This window comes from Homo sapiens, chromosome 19, assembly GCF_000001405.40.
Source record: "Homo sapiens chromosome 19, GRCh38.p14 Primary Assembly".
Classification (NCBI taxonomy): Eukaryota; Metazoa; Chordata; class Mammalia; order Primates; family Hominidae; genus Homo; species Homo sapiens.
The window spans coordinates 45,378,506-45,406,434 of NC_000019.10; the positions used below are offsets into that span (position 1 = coordinate 45,378,506).

Genomic DNA, 27,929 nt, shown 5'->3' on the forward strand with positions numbered 1-27,929 from the left:
ACAGGTGCACACCACCACGGCGGGCTAATTTTTGTATTTTTAGTAGACACCAGGTTTCACCATATTGGTCAGACTGGTCTCAAACTCCTGACCTCAGGTGATCCATCTGCCTCAGCCTCCCAAATTGCTGGGATTACAAGCGTGAGCCACACACCTGGCTTAATTTTTTTATTTTTGATCGACACAGGGTCTCCCTATGTTGTCCAAGCTGGCAGAGATTTTTGTTTGTTTGTTTGAGAGGGAATTTTGCTCTTGTAGCCCAGGCTGGAGTACAATGGTGCAATCTTGGCTCACCACAACTTCCGCCTCCCGGGTTTAACAGATTCTCCTGCCTCAGCCTCCCAAGTAGCTGGAACTACAGGCACCTACCACCACACCAGGCTAATTTTTGTGCTTTTTAGTAGAGATGAGGTTTCACCATGTTGGCCAGGCTGGTCTTAAACTCCTGGCCTCCAGTGATCCACCCGCCTTGACCTCCCAAAGTGCTGAAATTACAGGCGTGAGCCACCGCGCCTGGCCTCTCAACCTACAATTTCAACACCCAAGGAAACAGCCCACCATGAGTGAGAACCAGCAGACACAACAAACTATAGGATTAGCTGCCTCCAAACTTCAGGTGATAGAATTATCAGGCATGTACTTGAAACTAAAGGACACAAAAGAAGAATCCGAAATATAAAATAAAGGATTGGACTTGTGTGAAAAGAATCCCTTAGAAAGGGCTACTTTCAGGCTGGCCATGGTGGCTAATGGCCTGTAATCCCAGCACTTTGGAAGGCCGAGGTGTGTGGATCACCTGAGGTCAAGAGTTCAAGACCAGCCTGGCCAACATGGTGAAACCCCGTCTCTACTGAAAATACAAAAATTAGCCAGGTGGGGTGGCAGATGCCTGTAATCCCAGCTACTCGGGAGGCTGAGGCAGGAGAATCGCTTGAACTCAGGAGGCAGAGGTTGCAGTGAGCTGAGATTGCGCTATCGTGCCCCAGCCTGGGCACTAGAGTGAGATCAAAAAAAAAAAAAAAAAAAGAAGAAGAAGAAGAAAGGGCTACTTTCAGACTGCCTTGCCAAAAATCATAACCACAATGATGAGCATGTATTGAGTCAAAACAGAATCAAAAGAGAAGAAAGTCAATTTCTGTGCAAACTACTTTTATTTATAAGGAAAGTTTCTCTATTTTGTTTATAAACATTAAACCAGTGCTGTGTGAAGGCACTTAATTGGGGAGAGGTGGGGCAGGGATCCTGGTAGAGACCAATGTTTCCCACCCAGACCCCAAGACTGCTGGGAGAGATGGTGTCAGCAGTGACTCCCAGGAATATCCAGTGGTGTGGTGGCCCATCCCAGGCCCGGCTGGGCAGGTGGCTGGCTTGCTGGGGGATGTGATGATGGTGGTAGGCATGGGAGGCACTTTGGACGGGATCTGATTTGGCAAAAGGAAGTGGTTTCCTGTCCCCAGTGATTTCCAGCCCTTCCCAGACCTCCCAAGGCTAAGGCAGATTACTAAATTTAAGGCTGGGGCCCTCCTTCTTCCCTGGACTTCCAGGAGAACAGAGAACCGGTGGCAAGGACCACCACCAGCAGGGTGAGGGGTGCAGATAAAGGCAGCAAAAAACAGAGGGAGAGGTCTGGAGGGAAGGCAGGAATGCTTGTTTCTGTCAGCCTCAGAAACCTCCTTCTATCCTGCTAGACTTTACTCCTTTGAGGCTTCACCCTGGGGAACAGCTGGGGAGAGACAGGATCTTCAGACATCAGGAGCTCCCACCTCCTCATCCCACATGCAAATCCGCTGCCTGTCTCTATCCTCCCACCCCTTCCTAAGGGGACCTCTCAGCACCTCCCAAACTGCTCCAGAATCCAAGTTCTGTGTCACCTCCAAGAACCAGATGGAACCTTCCAATCAGAGCCTCCACTGATGAAATGGAATATTTCCAGTGTCTCCTAACTGCCATAAGGAGAAGCCCACCTCTCTCTAACACCTTGGTTGTCTTTTTGGGTCCCACCTCCATATTTAAAAAATCTCCTCTCTCAGGGCCGGGAGCAGTGGGTCACACCTATAATCCCAGCAGTTTGGGAGGCCGAGGTGGGTGGATGACCTGAGCTCAGGAGTTCAAGACAAGCCTGGTCAACATGACGAGACCCTGTCTCTACTAAAAACACAAAAAATTAGCTGGGCGTGGTGGTGCATGCCCGTAATCCCAGCTACTTGGGAGGCTGAGGCAGGAGAATCACTTGAATCCGGGAGGTGGAGGCTGCAGTGAGCCAAGATCGCGCCACTGCACTCCAGCCTGGGCGACGCAGCTGAAGCTGTGTCTCCAAAAACAAAACACACACACACACACACACAGAAAAAAAAAACCAAAATAAAAAAATCTCCCTTCTCAGGAATGTAACGGAATCTTCCTTGCCTTCTCCCCTAACCCTAATAGAGAATTTTCCTCAGTTACACTGTAATTTTATTAATGGATTTTTCCTCATTCTGCCCAATGCAGTGTAATGAAAGCTTCCTCTCCATCTGTTATATTATATATAAATATATATTATATATTTATATATTATATATTTATATATAACATATATTTTTATTGTCACCCAGGCTGGAGTGCAGTGGCACCATCAGGGCTCACTGCAGGATCAATCTCCCAGGCTTAAGCGATTCTCCTGTGTCAGCCTCCTGATGAGCTGGGATTACAGGCACCCGCCACCACACCCGGCTAACTTTTTTTTTTTGTATTTTTAGTAGAGATGGAGTTTCACCATGTTGGCCAGGCTGGTCTAGAACTCCTGACCTCAGGAGATCCGCCCGCCTTGGCCTCCCAAAGTGCTGGGATTACAGGTGTGAGCCACCTGGCCGGGCCCTCCACTTCCTTCTTGTACATTGCTGAATCCCTGTGTCAGCCCTAGAGGTCCAGTCTTTTGCCCTCTCCCAGCCTTAATCTACAATTCTGTAACCCACCCACCATCATTAAAATGAGATTCTTCTTTGTCGCTTCCCTTGGCTAAAATGGATTATTCTTTAACCTCTCCACCAATACAACCAGGGATGATAATAAAAACATTGGATTGAGCAGAAACCAATCAAATAACTAGTAAGGCAGTACTGGCGAGCACCCTACATCCTGACAGCTTTATAAAGGGCGCTTCCAGCCAGGTGCGGTGGCACATGCCTGTAATCCCAGGACTTTGGGAGGCTGAGGCGGGCAGGTCACCTGAGGTCAGGAGTTCAAGACCAGCCTGGCCAACGTGATGAAACCCTGTCTACACAAAATACAAAAAAAAAAAAAAAATTAGCCGTGCGTGGTGGCATGCGCCTGTCATCCCAGCTACTCTGGAGGCCAAGGAGGGAGGATCACTTGAGCCCGGGAGGCAGAGGTTGCAGTGAGCCCACATCTTATCACTGCACTCCAGTCTGGGTGACAAAGCAAGACTCCATCTCAAATAAATAAATACAAATTGGCCGGGTGCGGTGGCTCATGCCTGTAATCCCAGCACTTTGGGAGACCAAGGCAGGTGGATCATTTGAGGTCAGTAGATCAAAACCAGCCTGGCCAACATGGTGAAACCCCGTCTCTACTAAAAATACAAAAAGTAGCCGGGCGTGGTGGTGGTGGGCGCCTGTAATCCCAGGCAGGAGAACTGGTTGAGCCCGGGTGGGGGGGGCCCGAGGTTGCAGTGAGCACAGATGGCGCCATTGCACTCCAGCCTGGGCGACAGAGCGAGACTCCGTTTCAGAAATAAATAAATAAAATAAAAATAAAAATAAAAAAATAATAGAAATTTAAAAATAAAATAAAGGGCTTTTCCTCACCTACTCCACTAACTATAAGGGACCCTTACCCCCGACATTACTATTAAATATAACGGACTTTTCGTCTCCTCCCCATGAGCAATAATGAGCTTTTCAGACCTCCCTCTCCCAATATAACGGTTTGTTCCTGTTGCCTCTTCTTTTTCCTGTGGGATCCCCCTTTTCCCCAACCCCCAACTGTCGGGAGGTCCCCATGACTTCTCCCCTGGGCTCACCCCGAAGTAGTTCCGCGGCACGTAGCCCTCCTGGCCGTGCAGCGCGGCCCACCACCAGTCGGTCTCCTCCGGCCCGTCCCTCCGCAGCACGGTGACCGACTCGCCCTCGCGGAAGGACAGCTCGTCCCCGAACTCGGCGCTGTAGTCCCAGAGAGCGTACACTGCCCCGCTGTTCATCAGCCCCATACTCTGCTCGACGTCTGAAACATGCCACGGAGGGGAAGGTGAGAGCCTGGCCCAGGGGGTCCAGGAACAGGGGCCACGTGGGGTCCAGGACAGACCCTGGAATTTGGCGCCTGTCCCAGCAACCACCTGAAATGTTGTGTGTGCCCATGGCTGTGGATGGGAACCGGAGCTGGAGTCAGATGCCGGGACTGGCCGTCTTTGAGCGTTCGAGGAAACTGGGGGAGGCATGCCAGTGGGCCACCCACTCCCGAGGCAGGGTCAGAGGCTCCCATTTCTTTTCTTTCTTTTTTTTTTTTTTTTGAGACAGAGTCTCGCTCTGTCGCCCAGGCTGGAGTGCAGTGGCACGATCTCGGCTCACTGCAACCTCCGCCTCCCGGGTTCACACCATTCTCCTGCCTCAGCCTCCCGAGTAGCTGGGACTACAGGCGCCCGCCACCACGCCTGGCTAATTTTTGGTATTTTTAGTAGAGTCAGGGTTTCACCGTGTTAGCCAGGATGGTCTCGATCTCCTGACCTTGTGATCCGCCCACATTGGCCTCCCAAAGTGCTGGGATTACAGGCGTGAGCCACCGCGCCCGGCCTTTTTTTTTTTTTTTTTTTTTTTGAGATGGAATTTCGCTCTTGTCGCCCAGGCAGGAGTGCAATGGTGCGGTCTCACTGCAACCTCCGCCTCCGGAGTTCGAGCCATTCTCCTGCCTCAGCCTTCCAAGTAGCTGGGATTACAGGTGTGCGCCACCATGCCTGGCCAATTTTTGTATCTTTAGTAGAGACGGGGTTTCACCATGTTGGTCAGGCTGGTATCAAACTCCTGACCTCAAGTGATCCACCCGCCTCGGCCTCCCAAAGTGCTGGGATTACAGGCGTGAGCCACCTGGCCCGGCCCTCATTTCCTTCTTGTACATTGCTGAATGCCCGTGTCAACCCTAGAGGTCCAGTCTTTTGCCCTACCCTGGCGCTTAGCTTAAGTGGTACAGTCTCTAAGGAAGATTCGCACCTTCCTTGAATGATAGGGTCCTTTAAGTTGGCTCATCTGCCTCTTTCTTTTCTTTTCTTTTCTTTTCTTTTTGGAGACGGAGTCTTGCTCTGTCGCCCAGGCTGGAGTGCAGTGGCGCGATTTCGGCTCACTGCAACCTCCGCCTCCTGGGTTCCAGCAATTCTCCTGCCTCAGCCTCCAAAGTAGCTGGGACTACAGGCCCACGCCGCTACACCCGGCTAAATTGTTTTATATTTTTAATAGAGACGGGGTTTCACCGTGTTGCCCAGGCTGGTTTGGAAATCCTGAGCTCATGCAATCCGCCCGCCTCGAGCCTCCCAAAGTGCTAGGATTACAGGCATGAGCCACCGCGCCTGGCTTTCTTTTTCTTTTCTTTTCTTTTTTTTTTTCAGACAAGGTCTCACTCTGCCACCCAGGCTGCGGGAGTGCAGTGGTGAGATCAAGCTTACTGCAGCCTCGAACTTCCAGATTCAAGCAATCCTCCTGCCTCAGCCTCCTCCTGATTCTTTATGTTATTATTAAATATTTTGTAGGCCGGGCACAGTGGCTCACACCTATAATCACAGCACTTTGGGAGGCCAAGGCAGGCGGATCCTCTGAGGTCAGGGGTTTGAGACCAGCCTGGCCAACATGGCAAAACCCCGTCTCTACTAAAAATACAAAAAAAAAAAAAAAAAAAGTTAGCGGGCCGTGGGGCCCTTGCCTGTAATCCCAGTTACTCGGGAGCCTGAGGCAGGAGAATCGCTTTCACCGAGGAGGCAGAGGTTGTAGTGGGCTATGGTGCCATTGCACTCCAGCCTGGGTGACAGAGCAAGACTCTGTCTCAAAAAATAAATAAATAAAAATAAATAAATATTTCGTAGAGGTCAGGTGTGGTGGCTCACACCTGAATCTTAGCACTTTGGGAGGCCAAGGTGGGCAGATTGCCTGAGCTCAAGAGTTCGGGACCAGCCTGGGCAACACTGCAAAACCCCTTCTGTACTAAAAATACAAAAAAATGAGTCGGGCATGGTGGTGAGCACCTGTAGTCCCAGCTACTCAAGAGGCTGAGGCAGAGAATTGCTTGAATCCAGGAGGTGGAGGTTGCAGTGAGCCGAGATTGAGCCACTGCACTCCAGCCTGGGTGACAGTGAGACTCTGTCTCAAAAATAATAATAAATAAATATTTGTAGAGACAGGGGGTCTCTACAATGTCTTGTAGCCTGACCAGGCTCACCTTTCAAATATATAACCCTCTGTCTCACCCATAAGTCCTAGGACCTGCCTCACTCCAACTCTCCGTGAAGTTCCTTGCCCACACCGAGATACAACTGGCTCCTCCAGGTGTGAAATGACCCTGTGCACAATCCCCGTGGCACAGCCTACTTCGCCCTGCCCGTCGGGGAACCAGGTGATGTAGCCTGCCCCCTGGAGAGATAGGGTACAGCCTTGTGTCTTCCTACAAGCCCCTTTCTGGCAGCTGTAGCCTGCTCACCTGCCAGTGGTGTGGCAATGCCTCTCCCACAAGTGGCAGAGCCCACCTGCCCAGAGCCCTATGCCAGGTAGATGGCAGGGTTGAAACGTTCAGCTCCTCACCCTTGAAGATGTGAAAGGTGAGCAGACCAATCTTCACAGCCACTCTCCTCCCCAAAGGTGTCCAGCTCGCATAGCACAGCCTCCATGTCCCCTTTTCCCTTAGGAGGGCATAGTCCCCCCACCCCCGCAAGCGGTCCATCCCTCATCCTCCTCCTCGGCAATCCTGCCAAGTGGTTGGTACAGCCCCCATACCCTTCTCTCCCTAGTAGGGGGTAGTTGCTCCCCTCCCCGCTCCTGCGCACCCGCCAGGTACCCAGGCGCCAGCAGCCCTGCCTCGCACCTGCCAGGTAGGTGGCGCAGTCAGCATAACCCTCGCGGTAAGGGTCGCACTTCTCGAAGGCGGTGGCGCCGTCGCTGAGCGTGGTGGCGAAGATTGCAGCGCCGTGCTGCACCAGCGCCATGCAGATGACTGTGTCGTTGCACGACGCCGCGCAGTGCAAGGGTGTCCTAGGCGTGGGGGTGGGGGGTTGCGGGGAACGATGCGTGAGAGGCTGCGCGTCCGCCCACGGGGGACCCAGCCCACCGCGCGGGTCGGGGCTCACCAGCCGTGGCTGTCGGGGGAGTTGACATTGGCACCCGCGGTGATGAGGAAATCCACGATAGAGTAGTTGGCGCCGCAGATGGCGTTGTGCAAGGCAGTGATGCCCTCCTCGTTGGGCTGGCTCGGGTCGTTCATCTGAGTGCACCGGGGGAGGGGGAAGACTCAGTCCCGCGGCTGGCATCTGCGATGCCCCCGCCGTGCCCACCTCCCGCTCAGCAGCGCTCACCTCCTTCACCGCCTGCTGCACCACCTCCAGCTCCCCGGTCAGCGCCGCGTCCAGGAGGAGCACCAGAGGGTTGAGGCGCGCGCGGCGGGCCTTGCGCGGGGAGCCCGCCTTCCGCAGCACAGAGCGCATCTCCTGGGGGACAGGGCGCAGAGGTCAGCGACTTGGAGGGATTGTTAGTATATCCATGATCTAGAGTAGGAAACAGAGGTCCAGGGACTTGTGGCACCCATCTAGACAGGGGTAGAACTGGGATTCCCTCGGGATGGGGTGAGGGGGTGCCTTCGATCTCCTCCTAGAGCCTCCAGTTCCCTGCCATAGACAGGGAATCCTGTGATTTGAGAATCTTGGGCCCTGAAACTTGGGAGAAAGCTGGGGGGCCATGGGATTGGTGGCAAAGTAATTCTATCAGTTCAAAACAATGATTGTGGAAGCCAGTTATGCAATTCACACACAGTCTCACATTTCTTTTGTTAATAATGAATGCAATGAGACACACATGACAAAATGTTACCAGGAGTGTTCATTCCGGATGTTTGGAATTTGAGCATTTTATTATTCCTTGTATTTTCCTTTTCTTTTTCTCTTTTTTTTTTTTTTTTTGAGATGGAGTCTCGCTCTGTCACCCAGGCTGGAGTGCAGTGCAGTGGTGTGATCTCAGCTCACTGCACCCTCCATCCCCCAGGTTCAAGCAATTCTCCTGCCTCAGCCTCCTGAGTAGCTAGGATTACAGGCATGCGCCACTATGCCTGGCTAATTTTCATATTTTTAGTAGAGACAGGGTTTTGTCATGTTGTCCAGGCTGGTCTCGAACTCCTGACCTCAGGTGATCCACCCACCTCAGCCTCCCAAAGTGCTAGGATTACAGGTGTGAGCCACTGTGCCCAGCCTCATGGGCTTTCTTATTTTTAATTTTCCTCCTGTAAGATTCATTTATTCTGGGCTGGGCGAGGTGGCTCATGTCTGTAATCCTAGCACTTTGGGAGGCTGAGGTGGGAGGATCACTTGAGCCCAGGAGTTCGAGAACAGCTTGGGCAATATAGTGAGACCCAGTCTCTACAAAAAATAAAAAATTAGCCTGACATGGTGGCGCACACCCGTCGTCCCAGCTACTTGGGAGGCTGAGGCAGGAGGATTACTTGAATGGAAGAGAAGGAGGCTTCAGTGAGCCATGATCATGCCACTGCACTCTAGCCTGGGCAACAGAGTGAGACCCAGTCTCAAAAGAAAAAAAAATGCATTTATTTATTCCAAGTGTGTGAGTGCATAGCATTTGTGATTCTGGTCTTTGCTGTTTCCAGAGTTTCAGTGATTTTAAGATTCTGGAATTCAGAGATCCCAACAGCCACTGAATTCAAAATTCCCAGATGCTCAGTTATTTCAAGTTTCCAATATGTTGTGATTGCAGAAATGCTAGGCTGTGCTATTTCAAATTGCTGAGGGGCCAGGACTTTGGAATCCAAAGATTCTATGATGGAGAACTTTAATATTTTTCTGTTAGAATTTCTTTTTTTTGTTGGTTTTTTTGAGACAGAGTCTCGCTCTGTCGCCCAGGCTGGAGTGCAGTGGTGCGATCTCAGCTCACTGCAAGCTCCGCCTCCCGGGTTCAGGCCATTCTCCTGCCTCAGCCTGCCAAGTAGCTGGGACTACGGGCGCCCGCCACCACGCCTGGCTATTTTGTATTTTTAGTAAAGATGGGGTTTCACCGTGTTAGCCAGGAAGGTCTTGTTCTCCTGACCTCGTGATCCGCCCACCTCGGCCTCCCAAAGTGCTGGGATTACAGGTGTGAGCCATCATGCCTGACCTAGAATTTCATTTTAAAAGACTAGAAGGAAATGGCTGGGTGCGGTGGCTCATGTGTGTAATCTCAGCACTTTGGGAGGCTGAGGAGAGTGGATCACCTGAGGTCAGGCAGGAGTTCAAGACCAGCCTGGCCAACGTGGTGAAACCCTGTCTCTACTAAAAATACAAAAATTAGGTGGCCGTGGTGGTGCACGCCTGTAATCCCAGCTACTCAGGAGGCCGTGGCATGAGAATCACTTGAACCCAGGAGGCACAGTTATAGTGAGCTGAGATGGCACCATCGCACTCCAGCCTGGGTGACAGAGTGAGACTCCATCTCAAAAAAGGAAAAAAAAAAGAAAGACTAGAAGGAAATATTCAAAATGTTAATGATGGTTCCCTGTGAGTGGTGTGATTTTGTCCTCTTTCTTCTATTTTTATTTATTTTCCCCAAGCTCTCTATGGTGTTGGTGTATTTCTCTATAGTGGAATGTGTAAATTTAAAGTATAAATCTCAGCTGGGCACAGTGGCTCATGCCTGGTTTGAGACCAGCCTGGACAACATAATGAGAACTGTCTCTACTGAAAATGTTAAATATTATCTGGGAGTGGTGGTGCATGCCTGTAGTCCCAGCCATAGGGGAGGCTGAGGCATGAGGATCAATTGAGCCCAGTAGGTGGAGGCTGCAGTGAGCCATGATCTTGCCACTGCACTCCAGCCTGGGCAACAGAGTGAGACTCTGTCTCGATAATAATAACCCTCTATTACAACATATCAGTGCATGAATTTGTGATTTTATAATTCAAAATATGAGCATCTTTAATTGTCAGATTTGGTGACTTCAAGAATCAGTAATAATCAGTCTATGATACTAACTTTATAATTATTTTTTTTAAGAGAAGAGTTTCCTTTTATTTTATTTTATTTGAGACAGAGTTTCTCTCTGTTGCCCAGGCTGGAGTGCAGTGGCGCAATCTCGGCTCACTGCAGCCTCTGTCTCCTAGGTTCAAGCAATTCTCCTGCCTGAGCCTCCCGAGTAGCTGGGATTACAGGCATGCACCACCAGGCCCAGCTAATTTTTGTATTTTTAGCAGAGACGGGGTTTCACCATGTTGGCGAGGCTAGTCTTGAACTCCTGACCTCAAGTGATCCACCCGCCTCGGCCTCCCAAGGTGCTGGGATTACAGGCATGAGCCACCGTGCCCAGCCTAACTTTATAATTCTAAGATCGTGTTCAAACCTTTAAATGCTCTAGGGCTCTAAAATGTTACTATCCTAAGACGGTGACACTAGCGTTTGATTCTTACATTCTATGATTTTTTAAGTTTCTCTGTGGCCAGGACTCTGTGATTCTACAATGGGATGCTCAGCCATTTCAACATGTTGTTATTCATCCCCTCTTGATTTCAAAATCCTGAGCCTCAAGGTTCCTTGCCTTTACTTTCAGGAGGGCCTAGGAATAGGCATTTTGGGGGGGTCCACCTGACCCCTGCTTCTCTGAGAAGTGATCTCTTCCCGCTGTCTACGCACACGGAGTGTTCAGGACTGTTCCATGTGGCTACAACCCTCTTCCCAGTCAAGATGCAGGGACCAAGATCAGCAGGAGACCATCCCCTGGTCCAATGGTGACAACAGTAAGAGCAGTTAACAGTTATGTGCCAGGTATTATGCTAAGCACTACATTAATGTATTTAATCTTGGCGGGGTGTGGTGGCTCACACCTGTAATCCCAGCACTTTGGGAGGCCAGGGCGGGCAGATCACTTGAGGTCAGGAGTTCAAGACCAGCCTAGCCAACACAGTGAAACCCCATCTCTACTAAAAATACAAAAATTAGCCAAGCGTGGTGGCATATGCCTGTAATCCCAGCCACTTGGGAGACTGACGCAGGAGAATCACTTTAACCCAGGAGGTGGAGTCCAGCACCCAGCCGAGACTCACTTGTTTTTATTTATTTATTTATTTATTTTTATTTTTATTTTTTTTGAGACGGAATCTTGCTCTGTCACCCAGGCTGGAGTGCAGTGGCGCGATCTCAGCTCACCACAAGCTCCGCCTCCCGGGCTCACGCCATTCTCCTCTCAGCCTCCAGAGTAGCTGGGACTACAGGCGCCCGCCACCACCCCCAGCTAATTTTTGTATTTTTAGTAGAGACGGGGTTTCACCGTGTTAGCCAGGATGGTCTTATCTCCTGACTTCGTGATCCGCCCGCCTCGGCCTCCCAAAATGCTGGGATTACAGGCATGAACCACCACGCCCGGCCTATTTATTTATTTATTTAGAGATGGAGTCTTGCTCTGTCGCCCAGGCTGGAGTGCAGTGGTGCAGTCTTGGCTCACTGCAACCTCCGCCTTCCGGGTTTAAGCGATTCTCTTGCCTCAGCCTCCTGAGTAGCTGGGATTGGAATGAGACCACCACTTCTCCTGTTGTCCTTCCCAGCTTCTCCCCCACCTCCCCTTTTCCCTAGTTTATAAGACAGGAAAAAAAGGGAGAAAGCAAAACGCTGGAAAAAAACAGAAGTACGATAAATAGCTAGATGACCTTGGCGCCACCATCTGGTCCTGGTGGTTAAAATAATAATAATAATATTAATCCCTGACCAAAACTACTGGTGTTATCTGTAAATTCCAGACATTGTATGAGAAAGCACTGTAAAACGTTTTGTTCTGTTAGCTGATGTCTGTAGCCCCCAGTCACGTTCCTCACGCTTACTTGATCTATCGTGGCCCTTTCACGTGGACCCCTTAGCGTTGTAAGCCCTTAAAAGTGCTAGGAATTTCTTTTTCGGGGAGCTCGGCTCTTAAGACGCTGATGCTCCCGGCCGAATAAAAACCTCTTCCTTCTTTAATCCGGTGTCTGAGGAGTTTTGTCTGTGGCTCGTCCTGCTACAGAATTACAGGCACGCGCCACCGCTCCGGGCTAATTTTTGTATTTTTTTAGTAGACAGGGGGTTTCACCATGTTGGTCAGGCTGGACTTGAACCTCTGACCTCATGATCCACCCACCTCGGCCTCCCAAAGTGCTGGGATTACAGGCGTGAGCCACCGCGCCCGGCCGAGACTCACTATTTTATAAGAGGAGAGAGCAAAGCCAGGAACAGTGGCTCATGCCTCTAACTGCAGCAATTTGGGAGGCTGAGGCAGGTGGATCATTTGAAGTCAGGAGTTTGAGACCAGCCTGGCCAGCATGGTGAAACCTCATCTCTACTAAAAATACAAAAATTAGCCAGGAGTGGTGGCATACACTTATAATCCCAGCTACTTGGGAAGCTAAAGCGGGAGGATGGCTTGAACCTGGGAGGCGGAGGTTGCAGTGAGCCGAGGTCAAGCCACTGCACTCCAGCCTGAGTGATGGAGCAAGACTCTGCCTGGAAAAAAAAAAAAAATAGAGGAGAGAGCAGAGCAGACACAAGAGACACAGAGACAGAGAGGGAGAGAAGAGAGGGTGACTGCTTTGATTCAGGCAAGACTTCTCAGTCCCAGAATGAACCCACTGTTGTGCCAAGACTCAGTCATGTCCAGGTGTATGACTCGAGATTGCTGAAGGAATGCCCGGGGCAGGGCACAGGCACAGGTTATTGGAGAGAAGGAGCAGAGAACATCTCTATGTGGCCAAGACTCCCAGATGGCCCTCCATATAGTCACACACAGCTATCCTAAAGACTACATTTCCCAGCATCCCATTGCAATGAGGCTCCTGGCCAGTGGGAGCAGGCAGAGTGATGTATGGAACTCCCAGGTTCTGCCTGAAACAGGAAAGGGCACTTTCTCTTCTTCTTTCTCTCTTCCTGGCTGGAGGGCAGACTTGGTGACAGCCATCTAGGACCATGAAGGCAGGCTTACTCCCCGATGGATGGCAGAGCCCCAGGTAGATAGAGCCTGGGTCCTGACTCCAGTGAGGTGCCTACAGTCCTGGGCTGCAAACTCTTGGACTTCTACTCAAAAGAGGAGAAAACTTCGATCTCATCTAAGCCACTATATTTGGGGGGCTCTTTGCTACAGCTCCTGGATTCATGTAGCAAACATACCCCGGTTTCCTCCTGTATTACTTACCATGCTCTGCGGCTGCTCTGGTGGGCTGCTCTGGGACGGGGCCGGGGGTGGAATGGGAGCTGGTGGGGCAGGAGCAGGGGGCCCTGCCCTGGCCTCAGATCCCTCAGTGATGGGGGACAGCTCTGGCTCCGGCCCCCCGGGCCCTGGCCCCCCATGACGATGGAAGAGGCGGCTGATGATCTGCTGGTACTGTTTCTTGTGGGTAGGGGGCAGGGCCACAGCAGGGGCCTGCTCCATGGAGCCCCTGCGTTTGAGGGGCCGGGGAATTTCCGCCAACACCCGTGCCACCTCCTCCAGCTCGGGCACCGACTGTGCCTCCGGTGGCAGTGCTGGCTGCAGCCTCGTGGGGCTGAGAGGCCTTGCTACAGGGCCTTCATCCACATCGCCAGCCTCCAGCACTGGTGTCAGCAGCCCCTCTATCTCCGGCTCAGGCTCCAGCTCGGTGGGGGGTTTGGGGGGTCCTAGCCGGAACAAGAGCCCATCAGAGGACAGGTCCCCAGGAGACACCCAACACTCCCTCTCCACAACTTCCAGGGCATACAACCAGCACATGATTTTCTGTGTGACCTCAGGGAAGTTCCTTGCCCTCTCTGGGCTACACTTTCCTTGGGCTGTGAATAATATACAATTATGATGCCTCCCATTTATTGAGCAGTTAGTATGTGCCTGGCGCTTTACATGCCTACCTTATTGTAATCTCACCACTGCTTTGTGAGGTAGATACACTGCCATCTCCACATTACCGAAAGGGAATCTGGGCCTCAGAGAGGACAAGTCAGTTGCCCAAAGCCATGCAGTTGGGACTTGAACTCAGTTCTGGCTGACTCTAGAATCTACTTCTACCAACCGTGATAGATGTGATTTTCTGAGATCCTGAGAGTTTCCTCTCCTAACATCTCAGGCAGAAAACTCCAGCAGGAAGTAGAATCCTGGTGTTTAATGATTTCTTCTCTGTCTTACTCATTCTGACAGTAAAGCAGGTGGAAATAAAAATATGCATTATTGGCTGAGTCGAGTGGCTCACACCTGTAATCCCAGAACTTTGGGAGGCCGAGGCAGGCAGATCTCTTGAGATCAGGAGTTTGAGACCAGCCTGGCCAACATGGTAAAACCCTGTCTCTACTAAAAATACAAAAAAAAAAAAAAAAAAAAAAAAATTAGCTGGGCGTGGTGGCACATGCCTGTAATCCCAGCTACTCGGAAGGCTGAGGCACAGGAATCGCTTGAACCCAGGAGGCGGAGGTTGCAGTGAGCCGAGATTGCACCACTGCACCACTGCACTCCAGCCTGGGCAAAAGAGTGAGATTTCATCTCAAAATATATATATATACACACACACACACAAACACACACACACATTATATATATAGTGTATATATATTTTTATATAGTATGCATATACATATAAATAATACACACACACACACACGGCTGAGCATGGTGGCTCATGCCTGTAATCCCAGCACTTTGGGAGGCTGAGGTGGGTGGATCACCTGAGGTCAGGGGTTCGAGACCAGCCTGGCCAACATGGCAAAACCTCATCTCTACTAAAAACACAAAAAATTAGTTGGGTGTGGTGGTGCATGCCTGTAACCCCAGCTACTTGGGAAGCTGAGGTAGGAGAATCGCTTGAACCTGGGAGGTGTAGGATGCAGTGAGCTGAAACCTCACCACTGCATTCCAGCCTGGGCAAGAAGAGTGAAACTCCATCTTGGCTGGGCACGGTGGTTCACGCCTGTAATCCCAGCACTTTGGGAGGCCGAGGTGGGCAGATCATGAGGTCAGGAGATCGAGACCATCCTGGCTAACATGATGAAACCCCGTCTCTACTAAAAATACAAAAATTAGCTGGGGGTGGTGGTGGGCGCCTGTAGTCCCAGCCACTCGGGAGGCTGAGGCAGGAGAATGGCGTGAACCCGGGAGGCGGAGCTTGCAGTGAGCAAGCACCACTGCACTCCAACCTGGAAGAAAGAGCGAGACTCTGTCTCAAAAAAAAAGAGTGAAACTCTGTCTCAAAAATAAATAAATAAATAAACCCCAAAACACACACACATACACATTATTTCATTGAATCCCCGTCACAATTCTATAGGGTAGATATTATTAATCTCTCTTCACAGACGGGAAACAGAGTTTCGGACAAGTAATTTATCTTCAGTCACACAGCAAGTTAGCAGTGAAGAGAGACTCCAGCCCATCTGCTTAACTCACTGATCTCACACCTCAAAATATTAATAAATTATTATAACTAATATGGTAGCTATTTATTTGAGACTGGGTCTCACTCTGTCACCCAGGCTGGAGTGCAGTGGCGCTATCACAGCTCACTGCAGCCTGGATCTCCCAGGCTTAAATGATCCTCCCACCTCAGCATCCTGAGTAGCTGGGACTACAGGCGCCCACTACCATGCCCGGCAGATTTTTTGTACTTTTATTTTTAGTAAAGTCTATTTTAGTTTCACTATGTTGCCCAGGCTGGTCTTGAACTCCAGAGCTCAAGCAATCCTGTCTGCATTAGCCCACCAAACTGCTAGGATTACAAGGGTGAGCCACGGTGCCTGGCTAATATGGTAGCTATTGATAGCTTACTATGTATCAGATCCTATTTATTTATTTATTTTTGAGACAGAGTCTCACCCTGTCACCTGTGCTGGAGTGCAGTGGCATGATCTTGGCTCACTGCCACCTCCGCCTCCTTGGCTCAAGCTGAGTAGCTAGGACTACAGTGGTGAGCCACCATGCCCAGCTAATTTTTTTTTTTTTTTTTTTTTTTGATAGAGATGGGATTTCATCATGTTGTCCAGGCTGGTCTTGAACTCCTGACCTCAAGTGATCTGCCCACCTCGGCCTCCCAAAGTGCTGGGATTACAGGTGTGAGCAACTGCACCTGGCCCATCAGGTGCTGTTTTAAAGGCTTTATATGAATTTAATAACATATGTCAATAGGATCGATTCTATCATTATTTGCCTTTTTTTTTTTTTTTTTTTTTGAGGCAGAGTCTCCCCGTCACCCAGGATGGACTGCAGTGGCGCAATCTCGGCTCACTGCAACCTCCACCTCCCGGGTCCAAGTGATTCTCCTGCCTCAGCCTCCCAAGTAGCTGGGACTACAGGCGCCCGCCACCATGCCTGGCTAATTTTTGTATTTTTAGTAGAGATGGGGTTTCATATTGGCCAGGCTGGTCTCGAACTTCTGACTTTGTGATCCGCCCGCCTCGGCCTCCCAAAGTGCTGGGATTACAGGCATGAGCCACCGTGCCCGGCCCATTATTTCCCTTTTACACTCAAGAAAATTGAGGCCCAGTGAGGTTAAGTGACTTGCCCAAGGTCACACAGCGTGGAACCAGGCAGTCTGGCTTCAGGGTCCACACTTAACCTTTGAGCTATCCCTGGCTCCTACCCAAATTCCCAAACTCACCTGGCCTAGCTCTCTGCAGGGACAGTGCTTGTAAAGAGGCATTTGGCTGTGATCTCCCCACCTCCCAGGGCTGGTCTGGTCCCCCTGCCATTTGTCCTCCCTTCACCCAGTCCTCTAGGGCCCTCATTGCTGACTCACCTTCGTTCACAGGGGGCCATGTCTGTTGGGGATGCTGGGGGGCTGGGGTAGGGGTTTGGGGTTGGGTCTGGGGCTGTGGGGGCAGCTGGGGCTGTGGTTGTGATTGTGGCTGGGGCTGTGGTTGTGGTTGGGGCTGCAGCTTAGGCGGGGGTGCTCGGGTGAAGAGGGGGGACCCAGGGAGCATGGCGCGGCTGGCCCCGTGCTCCCAGAAGGCGTTCTGCAGCTTGAAGATCATGCTGAGGGGGATGGGACGCTGGCGCGGGGCCCCGCGGGGCTGGGGGCTGGAGGGGGGCATGGGGATGCGGCTGACGGGCTGCCAGCTGCGAGGCAAAGTGCCCGACGGCCCCGCGGAGCCCAGCGAGCGCCGGTAGCTGCCCGCGTCTGAACGCCGGTCGCTGGCCAGAGGAGAGACCTTGTAATTGCGCGGCAGGGTGGCGCTAGTGAGGTTGTCCTGGGGAAGAGGGAAGGGAGAAGGGGATCGGGTGAGAGAGGGAAGGTGGAGGGGAGGTAAAGACAAAAGACGAGAAGGGAGAGGAGGTGAGGGAAGCCCTGGGAGTGAGGGAGAAGAAAGGGTGAGGAAGGAGCAGAAACCCAGCACAGTGAAGGGAGAGCGTGGGAACGGGCGCCGAGACCCAGATCGCAGCCCCGAGGGGGAGACTGGCCTTGACCCCGCTCCCCCACCCCACTCCTCGACCTTCCCCAGCCTCTCCTCCCCAGGCGTCGCCTCCTCACCTTGCCGGTGCCCCCCAGTCCATCCAGGCTGCTCTCCCTCCAAGGCAACAGCTGCAGGCTCGGCGAGGCAGGCCTTGCGAAGACGTCCAGGCCTGCGGGGCGGGAATCATTAGGGTCTGTGGGGCTGCCTCTCCTCCGGGTCCTCCATTCCCCGGGCCTCCACCACTCACGTTCATAGCTCGCTGTCTGCGAAGGCTTCTTCTCGTACGCCACGTCCAGGTCAGACTCGTTCCAGGCTTTCGGAGGCCGCCGGCGCAGCGTCAGGTCGTCTGGGGAGAAGTTTCCAGGGAGGATGAGACGGGAGGGGTGGCGAGCCCCGGATCCTGCCCGCTTTGACCCCGCGAGTCAAAGGCCCCGCGAGGGGCCCCTGGGTTCACCTTGCGCGCGCAGAGGCGGGGCGAATGCGCTGCCGCCGGAGCCTAGCAGGGAGCTCCCGAAGGCGGACGCTGGCGCGTCGTAGGCTGTGGCAGGGGGGCGCGGTGACGGCCCACGCTCGGGGAAGAAGGCCTGGGGCCCCTCCGCCAGGGGGCTGCCGCGGGGGGAGCCTGCGCGGCCCAGGAAGTCGAAAGGCGTGGGGGGACCCTGCTGGCGGAGCGGGCCTGGCCCGGGCCGCGGGGAGGGCGCACGGCCGAGGGAGCTGCCTGCGCCATCGAAGGCGCGGGGCCGGGGCGAGGTCGCGCGGTCCAGGCTGCCGTAGGCGTCCGGCTGCAGGTAGAGCGGGGTGCGCGGCGACGACGGCCGTCCCTTGGGGGACAGCGGGCTGTAGGGGTGTAGGGTTGGGGCACTCTCTGATCGTCCGAACGGGGTGTCTGCGCCGTCGGTGGCCGCCTTCCGGGGGGACCCTCGGCTGCCGAAGGGCTCAGGGATCGAGCTGGAGCTGTACCGGGGCGGCTGTGGGGAGGCCAGGGCATTGAGGGATGGATCAAAGGAGACATTAGTGGAAGGGTTGGTGTGTGGGCGGGGGTGTCAAGAGAGATCACTGGAGGTCAACCCAGAGGAGGCTGACCGGCCATGGAAATTCAGGCACAGAGAGCCCAGGTGAGTAGTGGTGGGGAGACAGCCCTGAATCAGCACTGTGGCTAGCCCATTACTCTATGTCACCTTTATGCCACTTAGGTAAACACCTCTTTCCTTCTGAGGGTCCCTTTAGATGTCCACTTCCACTGGTCCCCTCTTTTCTATTTCTTTCTTTCTTTCTTTCTCTCTCTTTCTTTTCTTTCTTTCTTTCCTCTCTCTCCTTCCTTCCTTTCTCTCTCTCTCCTTCCCTCCCTCCCTCCCTCCCTGCTTGCTTGCTTTCTCTCTCTCTCTTTCTTTCTTTCTTTCTTTCTTTCTTTCTTTCTTTCTTTCTTTTCTATCTCGGCTCATTGCAGCCTCAACCTCCCTGGCTTAGTGTGATCCTCCCACTTCAGCCTCCCAAGTAGCTGGGATTACAGGTATGCACCACCACACCTGGCTAACTTTTGTATTTTTAGTAGAGACAGGGTTTCACCATGTTAGCCAGGCTGGTCTTAAACTCCTGACCTCAAGTGATCCGCCTGTCTCTGAAAGTGTTGAGATTACAGGCGTGAACCACCGTGCCCAGCCAGATTTTTAAAAAATCATTTGTAGAGGCTGGTCTCAAACTCTTAGTCTCAAGCAATTCTCTCACCTCGCCTTCCAAAGTGCTGGGATTCCAGGTCTGAGCCATCGCGCCTGGCCTGGTCCCCTTTTTTCAAGTTCCCTTGAAGAGCCCACAACCTGCATAACTATATGGGGCAATTTTGCCTGAAATCCAGGCCTCTGGTCTGGACTGTGGCGAGAGGCTGGCTTTGGAGATCAAGGTGGGAACCAGGCTTACCCTAGAAGGGGGTCCGGCCTGCGGGCCAGGAGGCGCGGGAGAGTCTGACCACAGCGACTCCAGCTGCTTGGTCAGTTCATCCACCTTGGCCGCCGCCGTGTCCAGCTCCATCTGCTTCAGATCCATGTGTTTCATGGCCAGCGCTGGGAAGGTGGGAGTGGAGGTAAGGACCTGGCCTCCTGGCAGGGGCCGGCCTCAGCACCCCTCGCCCGCTGCCGAGGTCCCCGCCTCGCCAGCCCCGCCCCCTACTCCAGCTTACACTGGAAGTTCATGTCCAGAAAGTCCCGCGCGCTCTGGAATGCCTCGCTGTCCATGGTGCCGGCCGGAGCGGGCGCCTGCATGGTGGGGAGGGAGGGAGCTGGCTAAGACCCCGCCCCTCTAGACCCCGCCCTCAGGGAGTCAGACGCCGTCAGGAGCGGGACAACGCCTCAACTCAGTTCCTTCCCCTGGAAGCCCTTTACCCTTTCACCTCCCCAGCTGGGAAATGCCAACTCCTCCAAAGCCAAGTCCATGCGCCACGGAGAAGTCCAAACCCAGTCTAAAACCTCCGGAATTCACTTTCTCTTTCTTTTTTTCTTTTCTTTTTTTTTTTTTTTTTGTGTATGTGTGTGAGACAGAGTCTCGCTCTGTCGCCCAGGCGGGAGTGCAATGACGCGATCTTGGCTCACTGCAACCTCCGCCTCCCGGGTTCAAGCAAATCTTCTGCCTAGCTGGGACTACAAGCGCGCGCCATTATGCCCGGCTAATTTTTGTAGTTCTGGGATTACAGGAGTGAGTCTCCGCGCCCGGCCGTGTCCATCTCTTTATCTCAGTCCTAAGACCTGAATCACTCCTTGAACAATTATCTATTGATCACCTACAATGTGCCGGTAAACATAGGATGGAATAACTATGAATTACTGAATGTTTACTAGGGACCAGGACGCACTGTGCTAGATCCTGTTTTTGTTTGTTTTTGAGATGGTGTCTCGCATTTTCGCCCAGGCTGGAGTGCAGTGGCGCGATCTCGGCTCACTGCAAGCTCCGCCTCCAGGGTTCATGCCAGTCTCCTGTCTCAGCCTCCCGAGTAGCTGGGACTACAGGCGCCTGCCACCATGCCTGGCTAAATTTTTGTATTTTTAGTAGAGACGGGGTTTCACCGTGTCAGCCAGGATGGTCTCGATCTCCTGACCGCGTGATCCATCTGCCTCGGCCTCCCAAAGTGCTGGGATTACAGGCGTGAGCCACCGCGCCCGGCCTTGTTTTTGTTTTTTAATAATAATTCTGCTGTCTGCTGTGTACTAGAACCCATGCCTACTGCTTGGGGTATAATGTAGTAAATGTAGTAAAAACAATATCCGCCGGGCGCGGTGGCTCACGCCTGTAATTCCAGCACTTTGGGAGGCCAAGGAGGGCGGATCACGAGGTCAGGAGAGCGAGACCATCCTGGCTAACATGGTGAAACCCCGTCTCTACTAAAAATACCAAAAATTAGCCAGGCGTGGTGATGGACGCCTGTAGTCCCAGCTACTCGGGAGGCTGAGGCAGGAGAACGGCGTGAACCCGGGAGGTGGAGCTTGAACTGAGCGGAGATCGCGCCACTGCACTCCAGCCTGGGCGACAGTGCGAGACTCCGTCTTAAAACAAACAAATAAATAAATATGTTTAAAACAACAACAACAATAACCAGCCAGGCGCGGTGGTTCACTCCTGTAACCCGAGCACTTTGGGAGGCCGAGGTGGATGGATCGCTTGAAGCCAGGAGACCAGCCTGGCCAATATGGTGAAACCCCGTCTCTACAAAAAAATACAAAAGTTAGCTGGGCATGGTGGCATGTGCCTGTAATCCCAGCTACTCAGGAGGCTGAGGCACAAGGCTCACTTGAACCTGGGAGGCACAGGTTGCAGTGAGCATAGATTGTGTCACTGCACTGCAGCTTGGGTGACAGAGCGAGGCTCTATTTAAAAAAAAAAAAATTAATTGAGGGGCCACTCCCTTCTAGAGTGGTGAGAAATGCCGTGCACCGAAAGCTTCATTTGATGGTCAAAACCACCCTAGCAGGCAAGAAAGCATGGCTCAGAAACATATGTTCAAGGTCACCCTGCAAGAAGTCGGTAGTAATCGGTTTCACACCCGCATCTAACTTATTCTGGGTCATCTCTACCAGATTAGAGGGGTCCTAGAGGGAAGCGACTGCTCAGCTTCCTTTCCCTAGGGTCCCCATTCAGTGGAGGTCTGGCTCTCACTGACCCATTGTTAGCAAGAGGAACAGGGAGGTGGCCAGGGGTGGAGGGGCAGCTGTGGTCACTGGCCCAGTGGGAGGGAGCTAGGCCACTAGGAACCGGTCAGGCCAGCACCATCCCTATCCCCATGCTAGCCACCACACCCACCAGCTCTGCCACCTCCCTGCTGCATCGACCACTTAGCTCTGGCAGTATAGGCAGCAGGGCAGGCTGGGGCATGCTGATACCCGCCTCTGTCTGGGAAGTCGAAGGAACAGAACCTGTTCAGGCTGGCGGCTCATTTGGATGAACAGGGAGTGTGTGACCTTGGGCGTTGAGTCCTCTCCACTCCCTGGGCCTCAGTCTCCCCAACATCAAAGAAGAAGGCAAATCACCTTTTTTTTTTTTTTTGAGATAGGGTCTCGCTCTGTAACCCAGGCTACAATTGTGACTCACTACAGCCTCTTGACCTCCCAGCTCAAGTGGTCCTCCCACCTCAGCCTCCTGAGTAGCTGAGACTATAGGTATAGCCTCGCACCACCACACCCAGCTAATTTTTTTTTTTTTTTTTTTTTTTTTTTTTTTTTTGAGACGGAGTCTTGCTCTGTCGCCCAGGCTGGAGTTCAGTGGCGGGATCTCGGCTCACTGCAAGCTCCGCCTCCCGGGTTCACGCCATTCTCCCGCCTCAGCCTCCCAAGTAGCTGGGACTACAGGCGCCCGCCACTACGCCCGGCTAATTTTTTGTATTTTTAGTAGAGACGGGGTTTCACCATTTTAGCCGGGATGGTCTCGATCTCCTGACCTCATGATCCGCCCGCCTCGGCCTCCCAAAGTGCTGGGATTACAGGCGTGAGCCACCGCGCCCGGCCACCCAGCTAATTTTTTAAAAACATTTTGTACACTTTGGGAGGCTAAGGCGGGAGGATCACGAGGTCAGGAGCTCGAGACCATCCTGGCTAACACGGTGAAACCCTGTCTCTACTAAAAAATACAAAAAAATTAGCTGGGCGTGGTGGCGGGCGCCTGTAGTCCCAGCTACTCGGGAGGCTGAGGCAGGAGAATGGTGTGAACCAGGGAGGCGGAGCTTTCAGTGAGCCGAGATCGCGCCACTGCACTCCAGCCTCGGAGACAGAGCGAGACTCCGTCCCAAAAAAAAAAAAAAAAAAAATTTGTAGAGACAGGGGTCTCACTTTGTTGCTCAGGCTGGTTTTGAACTCCTGGGCTCAAGCAATCCTCCCGCCTCAGCCTCCCAAAGTGCTGAGATTACAGGCATGAGCCACCACACCTGGCCAAATCAGCTATTCTGAAAGGCCCCTTTAATCTCTATGAGCCCCAGACTTTCAAACTGTAAGGACCTTAGGACTGTAACTAAAGTTCTACAGAGCCTAAACCCCTCAGCTAAAGAGCCTATTGTTGGAAAGTTCTGAGTCCAAGATTCTATCTTTGGAACATTCTAGAATTCTCCAATTTGTCTAACCCAGAATTCTGAGTCTTTCTGTACCACATTCTACCTAACCCAGGGTTGCACTGCTCTGGAAGTCTAGATGGATGGTATAGTGCAGCTGGTAAAAGCATGAGTAAGAAGTCAGACTTCAAAAATTCAAATCTGAGGGCCGGGCATGGTAGCTTCTGCCTGTAATCCTTGCACTTTGGGAGGCCGAGGGGGGAGGATCACTTGAGGCCAGGAGTTCAAGACCAACATGGCCAACACAATGAGACCCCATTTCTTAAAAAAAATTAAAATAAAATCATCAAATCTGGCAGCACCACCGTCCAACCCTGACCACAGTACCTCAGTCTCGTAATCCGTAAAATGGGGATGAAAGTTCACCTCATAGGACTACTGTAAGAATCCACCTGGTCAGAAGGTGCAGGAAGAATTCAGAGCTCTGAGAATTGAGGCCTCAGGAAGAAGAGACTACAGGAATAAAAACTCGGGCATTTAGAATTTCAGAGATACACAAACAATACTTTGTTAACTGTTAAAATAGATAAATGAGCAAGTCTGTGCAGCCCTAATGCCAGCTGTAAGTGACTCTTTTTTTTTCTTTTGGTAGAGATTTAGTCTCTCTCGCGCCTGTGGTTAGGCTGGTCTCGAACTCCTAGCCTCATGGGATCCTCCCCGGCTCGATCTCCCAAAGTATTGGGATTACAGGCGTGAGCCACGGCGCCATGATCCCCAAATTTCCAAGATTCTCAGATTCCATACTGACATTCTCTGGCTCTCAGGAAATGCCAACCCTGGGTGTGGGGCTGTCGCGGGGACAGGCGGTGGGGACGTCGGAGCCACCAGGGGGCGGTCACGCCCGGACCCCCGCCAGGAGGGCGGACTGCGCCTGAGCTCAGGCCCGGGGAATGCGCAGCGGGCCCGGGCAGGTGCTGTACATCCCGGGGCAAGGGAGCTGGGCCGGGCGGGGTACAAGGGCGGGGCGCGGGGGTGGCGCGGGCCGTGTGTCTGTTCCCAGGCCTCTGCCCCTGACCTCTGCCTCCGAGTCCTCTCCCATGTGCTCCCCTCTAGCTCTAGCTCCGAGCTCTCCCGCGGGCTCTGGGCCAGCCGCAGGTACTCTCCCCTGGGCTCCTCTCTCCGCTCCACCCCTGGCTCTCCTTCCCTGGCCTCCTCTGCACCCCAGCCAGGTTCTTTAGGGCTAAGGATCCTGTGGACTTCCTGGAGGAGTCATCTTCAGTAGGAACCGGGTCAGAGAGCCAGACTGAGCTGGGAACACCCAGGCTGGACTCCTACAGCCCTGTCGGGTCACACTGAATCTGGAGAGGCTCCACTGTCTCTGGGACTCGGTTTCCTCCTTTGTGGACGTCTATGGAATGGGCTAGGGCCTTTCTTGCTCTAAGCCTCTACTTGGGCTTGTTATTTAGCTTCTCTGTGCCTGTTTCCTCATGTGGACCATGGGAAGAATTAATACCTTCGCCTCAAAGGGGTATGAGGATTGAGTGACATAATTTATAAGCCGTGATTAGAACAATGCAGTGCGCGAAATAAAGTTCACACATACAGGATTCATAATTACCAGATGTCCTTGGCTGTTCATTATAATAACACAGGGTCTGGCAACAGAGTGAGGGGTCCAGACTCAATGTAATTTTTTTTTCCCCTAAAAGGGCCCTTTCAACTCTTTCTGAGATCATACAAGCCCTGAGTTTTGACACCCAGGGTCTCAACTTCCTGAGCCCTTGCCTCTCAGAGTCCTAAATTTCCCCTGTACATTCCTGAGTCTGGCCAGTGATCACCCTCAGTCACTTAGGGACGGGAGGGCTGGGAGAGCCCTGGAAGATTCCAGACAGAAGCTGGCAAAAGCCCAGGGTGTGGGCAATATCCACTCTCCAGCCTCCGTTTCTCCACTCGTAATGAGGAGTCCTTCCCTGGGGTCAGCAAACCTTATTCAAAGGGAGACCTCTCAGTCACCCAAGATTCCTCTAGACAATGCGAGCTTTCCTACCTACCTACCTACCAGCTCTGAGCTTGGTACACCCAGAGCCCTGTTTTGGCAACCACGGTTATTATTTTTAATTTCATTTCAGGTTATCATCAAATGCCCTTCAAGCCCAGACATTGGGAAACACTCCTCTCTCATCAGATGCTCGCCTCCCCCATTCTGTTTTTAATCCCCCTTCTTAGGACGCATGGGGGTGGAGAGAACGGGGAGATAGACAGAGGGAGGTGCCTGGTCCTGCCCTCCCCCCGCCTCAAGGACAGACAGACACCTCCAGAATTAGCCTCTGTCCCTCCCTTATCTCCCACAATACCCCAGGTCAGACAGATGGGCGTGGAGGTGACATTTCTCACCTCAGGGTCAGGGCAAGGAGCCCTGAGGCAGAAGGTTAGTCAGAAAATCTGGCGGGGGCGGATGGAATCCCGTCCCCCAGAGAGCTGCAGAAGAAGGAGGAGGCAGAATCCTGACCCTACAAACTCTACTGCCTGTGTGAGCTCCAAGCCTCAGTTTACCCCTTCCTCTCCGTGTAATGGTTAAATGCCCGGCTATGCAAACCTCCCAGAATCCAATAGCCGCTTTCCGGAATTCTGCCCTGGGTTCTAGAACTACCTCTGCAAACCCAGCTGTTTCCCACCCCATAAGGCAATAGGGGAGCCCACCTCCGCCAGGGGGTGCCCTAGGGCGGATGTCCCTTCTCTGGTTAGGCAGGTCTGACGCCCAGGTTAATGACATGTTGGGTTCGCTCAGCGGCACAGAGGAGGTTGGAGATCTGCCTCGGTGTTTTCTCTCCTACCCCGCCCCCATCCCCGAGCCGAAAAGTCGGGGGAGAGCCGGGACACAGCCTCCGGAGGGACCCCGGGTACCTGTCCTGCTCCACTTCAGGAACCCAGGCTCCACTATCCCTGCCCCACCCTTAATTCTGCTCAGAGACCTAGAAGATCGGTCGAGACAGCAGCTTGAGGCTGGCAGGGTGGTCACCCATTCCACCTTGAGCCCCACCAGTCTGAGCCTCTCATTTCTGACCAAGACTCGGGGATTCGAACCCCTATACTACCCAAAGACTCGGCTTCCTAGAGCCCCCCAGTTCGAGGGACTCAGGAATTCCAGCTCCAACGTCTCCCCGGGATGAAGGGGTAGAATCCCTCCATTCCAAGAATTCAGGCATCCGAACCCGCTTTCCTTCCCTCCAGTAAAACAGGCAACGGAGTTTCCTTCTAAGGATCCAGGTGTCGGCGCGCCCCAAATTCCGCCCTGGGACCTGGCGTCCGAGTCCCCTCCCAATCCTCCCAGGGACGCGGGTGTTGGGCTTTTTCAGGGCCTCTGGTCCCCAGGAGGGTGAAACTCACGGATCCGGGCAGATCCTGGCACCTGGGGGCTTCCTCCAGCTCGGGCTCCGGCTTGGGGAGCGGAGAACGGGGCGGGGCAGGAGCTGGGAACAGGTTAGACGACGTGACTTGGGCTGGAGGGAGGCGGGTCCCGGTGGGGAGGGGGAGCCAAGGTCGCCTCGAGCACCTTGGGACTTGTAGTCCCGGAGGGACAGGACGTAGCCCAAGACGATCCCATTTGGATTCACCCAGAGTCCATTTCACAGACAGGAAGGGCGAGGCCCAGAAGCCGAGAGCGACCAGGCCAGGGAGATACAGAAGAGCCGAGACGCCTGCCTCGCTGTGGCTGGAGACTGACTCCTGAGCCCTTGCCCCACCCCTTCAGGCGCACTATCCCCTTTCCTGATCAGTATCCCCCAGGGTCTCTGAGCCCGAATCTCCCCGTCGATAAAAAGCGCGGGTTGGATCTTCAAAGGATGTCCCAGCAAGAGTTCAAAATCTTAGTTTGGACTACAACCCCCAGCAGCCTCCGCGACCGCCCTCGGGCGACTCTTTGCCTCGGGTCCTGTGGGAATTGTAGTCCTGGAGCCCGCAGGGGCTGCACCCCGGTGTCTCTCTCGCCCACGCGAAGGAAACCGTCTGGAGATCCTGGATAGGGGAAACATTTCCCCTTCCCCTTGACCCTCCCTCCGCTCTGGAAAGCCTCTCCCACCTGGGGAGAAGGGGTGCCCCAATTCTGGAGTAGGATCCTAAATCTTGGCAGAGGGGGCGGGAAGTGGCGCTGACACACTGGCCAGGAATGCAGTCGGGTCACCCTGTCTAGCCACCGTCTCGCGGCTCCAACCGCCGCCCAACGCGGGGCGGCCCCAGTGGGAAGGGAAGTGGGTGCGTCCCCCAAATCTGTGTCCACGTGCCGCTGTTTACACGCTCCCTGGGGCAGGGAGGAGTCGCCGATCAGGTCCCTTCCTGAAAGTCATCGAGGTTTCCCACGCATGAGACTAAACCCCCGAGGGCATCTACAAGTCCCATTTGATCCACAAACGCTACACCGTGCCCAGCACCACTCCACGCGTGTGGGGCTCCTGGGTCCGAGGCTCCGCCCTCGAGAACCACAAGCTCCTCCCCCTATGTTTCCCGCTCCCCCGGAGTCCAGAAGCCCCGCCCCTGGCTGGAACTTCACGCCCTCCGGACGGATTGCCCCTATTTCTCCATTTTCCCGCTTCTCCCAGTCAAGTTCTGAACTTGTGAGGCATCTGGGCCTCCCCAGAAGACATTTAACACAGAAAGCACAGCCCTACTAACTAGTATTCTTACCTGTCTCTTCAAGAATTTCAGACCAATCGACCGTCCTGTCTCTTTAAGGCTTAGGAAGAGCAGTGTGGCTGCCCCTTTAAGGAGGCGTTGCAACAAACCATATTGGACAGACGATGGGGGCGACCCATCGGGACCCGACGGGC

At 53.2% G+C, this 27,929-nt stretch overlaps 1 protein-coding gene across 5 annotated transcripts, besides 10 other annotated features; it reads right to left on the reverse strand.

Annotated features, from left to right (window-relative positions):
- Nucleotides 1–1,132: 1,132 nt before the first annotated feature.
- On the reverse strand, nt 1,133–27,856 carry PPP1R13L (protein phosphatase 1 regulatory subunit 13 like). Of its 5 annotated transcripts, none has more exons than XM_017026178.2 (14): nt 27,787–27,856; nt 23,494–23,619; nt 19,759–19,834; nt 19,500–19,642; nt 18,040–18,553; nt 17,833–17,931; nt 17,663–17,754; nt 16,931–17,381; nt 13,375–13,835; nt 7,544–7,675; nt 7,319–7,452; nt 7,057–7,223; nt 4,022–4,221; nt 1,133–1,723 (listed from the first exon to the last, which is right to left on the reverse strand). In XM_017026178.2, exons 3-14 carry the CDS (start codon nt 19,811–19,813, stop codon nt 1,685–1,687), a joined length of 2,487 nt encoding a protein of 828 aa, XP_016881667.1. In that variant the 5' UTR covers nt 19,814–19,834; nt 23,494–23,619; nt 27,787–27,856; the 3' UTR covers nt 1,133–1,684. The 5 variants fall into 5 exon arrangements, with proteins under 5 accessions (XP_016881667.1, XP_016881666.1, NP_001135974.1 ...); XM_017026177.2 differs by lacking the exon at nt 23,494–23,619 and adding an exon at nt 26,494–26,576; NM_001142502.2 differs by lacking the exon at nt 23,494–23,619.
- Nucleotides 12,738–12,797: an enhancer, noted in NCBI's record as "active region_14792". NCBI's record gives its function as "activates an Ori minimal core promoter by ATAC-STARR-seq in GM12878 lymphoblastoid cells {active_cell/tissue: GM12878}" and the evidence as "EXISTENCE:reporter gene assay evidence [ECO:0000049][PMID:35858748]".
- Nucleotides 13,048–13,097: an enhancer, noted in NCBI's record as "active region_14793". NCBI's record gives its function as "activates an Ori minimal core promoter by ATAC-STARR-seq in GM12878 lymphoblastoid cells {active_cell/tissue: GM12878}" and the evidence as "EXISTENCE:reporter gene assay evidence [ECO:0000049][PMID:35858748]".
- Nucleotides 13,048–13,577: a biological region, named in NCBI's record as "H3K4me1 hESC enhancer GRCh37_chr19:45894822-45895340".
- Nucleotides 13,059–13,577: an enhancer, noted in NCBI's record as "H3K4me1 hESC enhancer chr19:45894822-45895340 (GRCh37/hg19 assembly coordinates)". NCBI's record gives its function as "activates a minimal SCP1, AML or CMV promoter by ChIP-STARR-seq in primed H9 embryonic stem cells {active_cell/tissue: H9 hESC(primed)}" and the evidence as "EXISTENCE:reporter gene assay evidence [ECO:0000049][PMID:30033119]".
- Nucleotides 13,578–14,094: an enhancer, noted in NCBI's record as "H3K4me1 hESC enhancer chr19:45895341-45895857 (GRCh37/hg19 assembly coordinates)". NCBI's record gives its function as "activates a minimal SCP1, AML or CMV promoter by ChIP-STARR-seq in primed H9 embryonic stem cells {active_cell/tissue: H9 hESC(primed)}" and the evidence as "EXISTENCE:reporter gene assay evidence [ECO:0000049][PMID:30033119]".
- Nucleotides 20,076–21,074: an enhancer, noted in NCBI's record as "H3K4me1 hESC enhancer chr19:45901839-45902837 (GRCh37/hg19 assembly coordinates)". NCBI's record gives its function as "activates a minimal SCP1, AML or CMV promoter by ChIP-STARR-seq in naive H9 embryonic stem cells {active_cell/tissue: H9 hESC(naive)}" and the evidence as "EXISTENCE:reporter gene assay evidence [ECO:0000049][PMID:30033119]".
- Nucleotides 23,911–24,160: a silencer, noted in NCBI's record as "silent region_10762". NCBI's record gives its function as "represses an Ori minimal core promoter by ATAC-STARR-seq in GM12878 lymphoblastoid cells {active_cell/tissue: GM12878}" and the evidence as "EXISTENCE:reporter gene assay evidence [ECO:0000049][PMID:35858748]".
- Nucleotides 24,201–24,290: a silencer, noted in NCBI's record as "silent region_10763". NCBI's record gives its function as "represses an Ori minimal core promoter by ATAC-STARR-seq in GM12878 lymphoblastoid cells {active_cell/tissue: GM12878}" and the evidence as "EXISTENCE:reporter gene assay evidence [ECO:0000049][PMID:35858748]".
- Nucleotides 26,450–27,245: an enhancer, noted in NCBI's record as "H3K27ac-H3K4me1 hESC enhancer chr19:45908213-45909008 (GRCh37/hg19 assembly coordinates)". NCBI's record gives its function as "activates a minimal SCP1, AML or CMV promoter by ChIP-STARR-seq in primed H9 embryonic stem cells {active_cell/tissue: H9 hESC(primed)}" and the evidence as "EXISTENCE:reporter gene assay evidence [ECO:0000049][PMID:30033119]".
- Nucleotides 27,216–27,415: an enhancer, noted in NCBI's record as "active region_14794". NCBI's record gives its function as "activates an Ori minimal core promoter by ATAC-STARR-seq in GM12878 lymphoblastoid cells {active_cell/tissue: GM12878}" and the evidence as "EXISTENCE:reporter gene assay evidence [ECO:0000049][PMID:35858748]".

Excerpts from the sequence above, each read along its gene's own strand:
- PPP1R13L (NM_001142502.2), bottom strand. The coding sequence starts at position 19,813 with ATGGACAGCGAGGCATTCCAGAGCGCGCGGGACTTTCTGGACATGAAC. Across the intron at positions 17,755-17,832 it reads GCAGACAGCGAGCTATGAAC|GCCTGGACGTCTTCGCAAGG; the intron begins GTGAGTGGTGGA and ends CCCGCCCCGCAG. Across the intron at positions 1,724-4,021 it reads TGCCGCGGAACTACTTCGGG|CTGTTCCCCAGGGTGAAGCC; the intron begins GTGAGCCCAGGG and ends GTCTCTCCCCAG.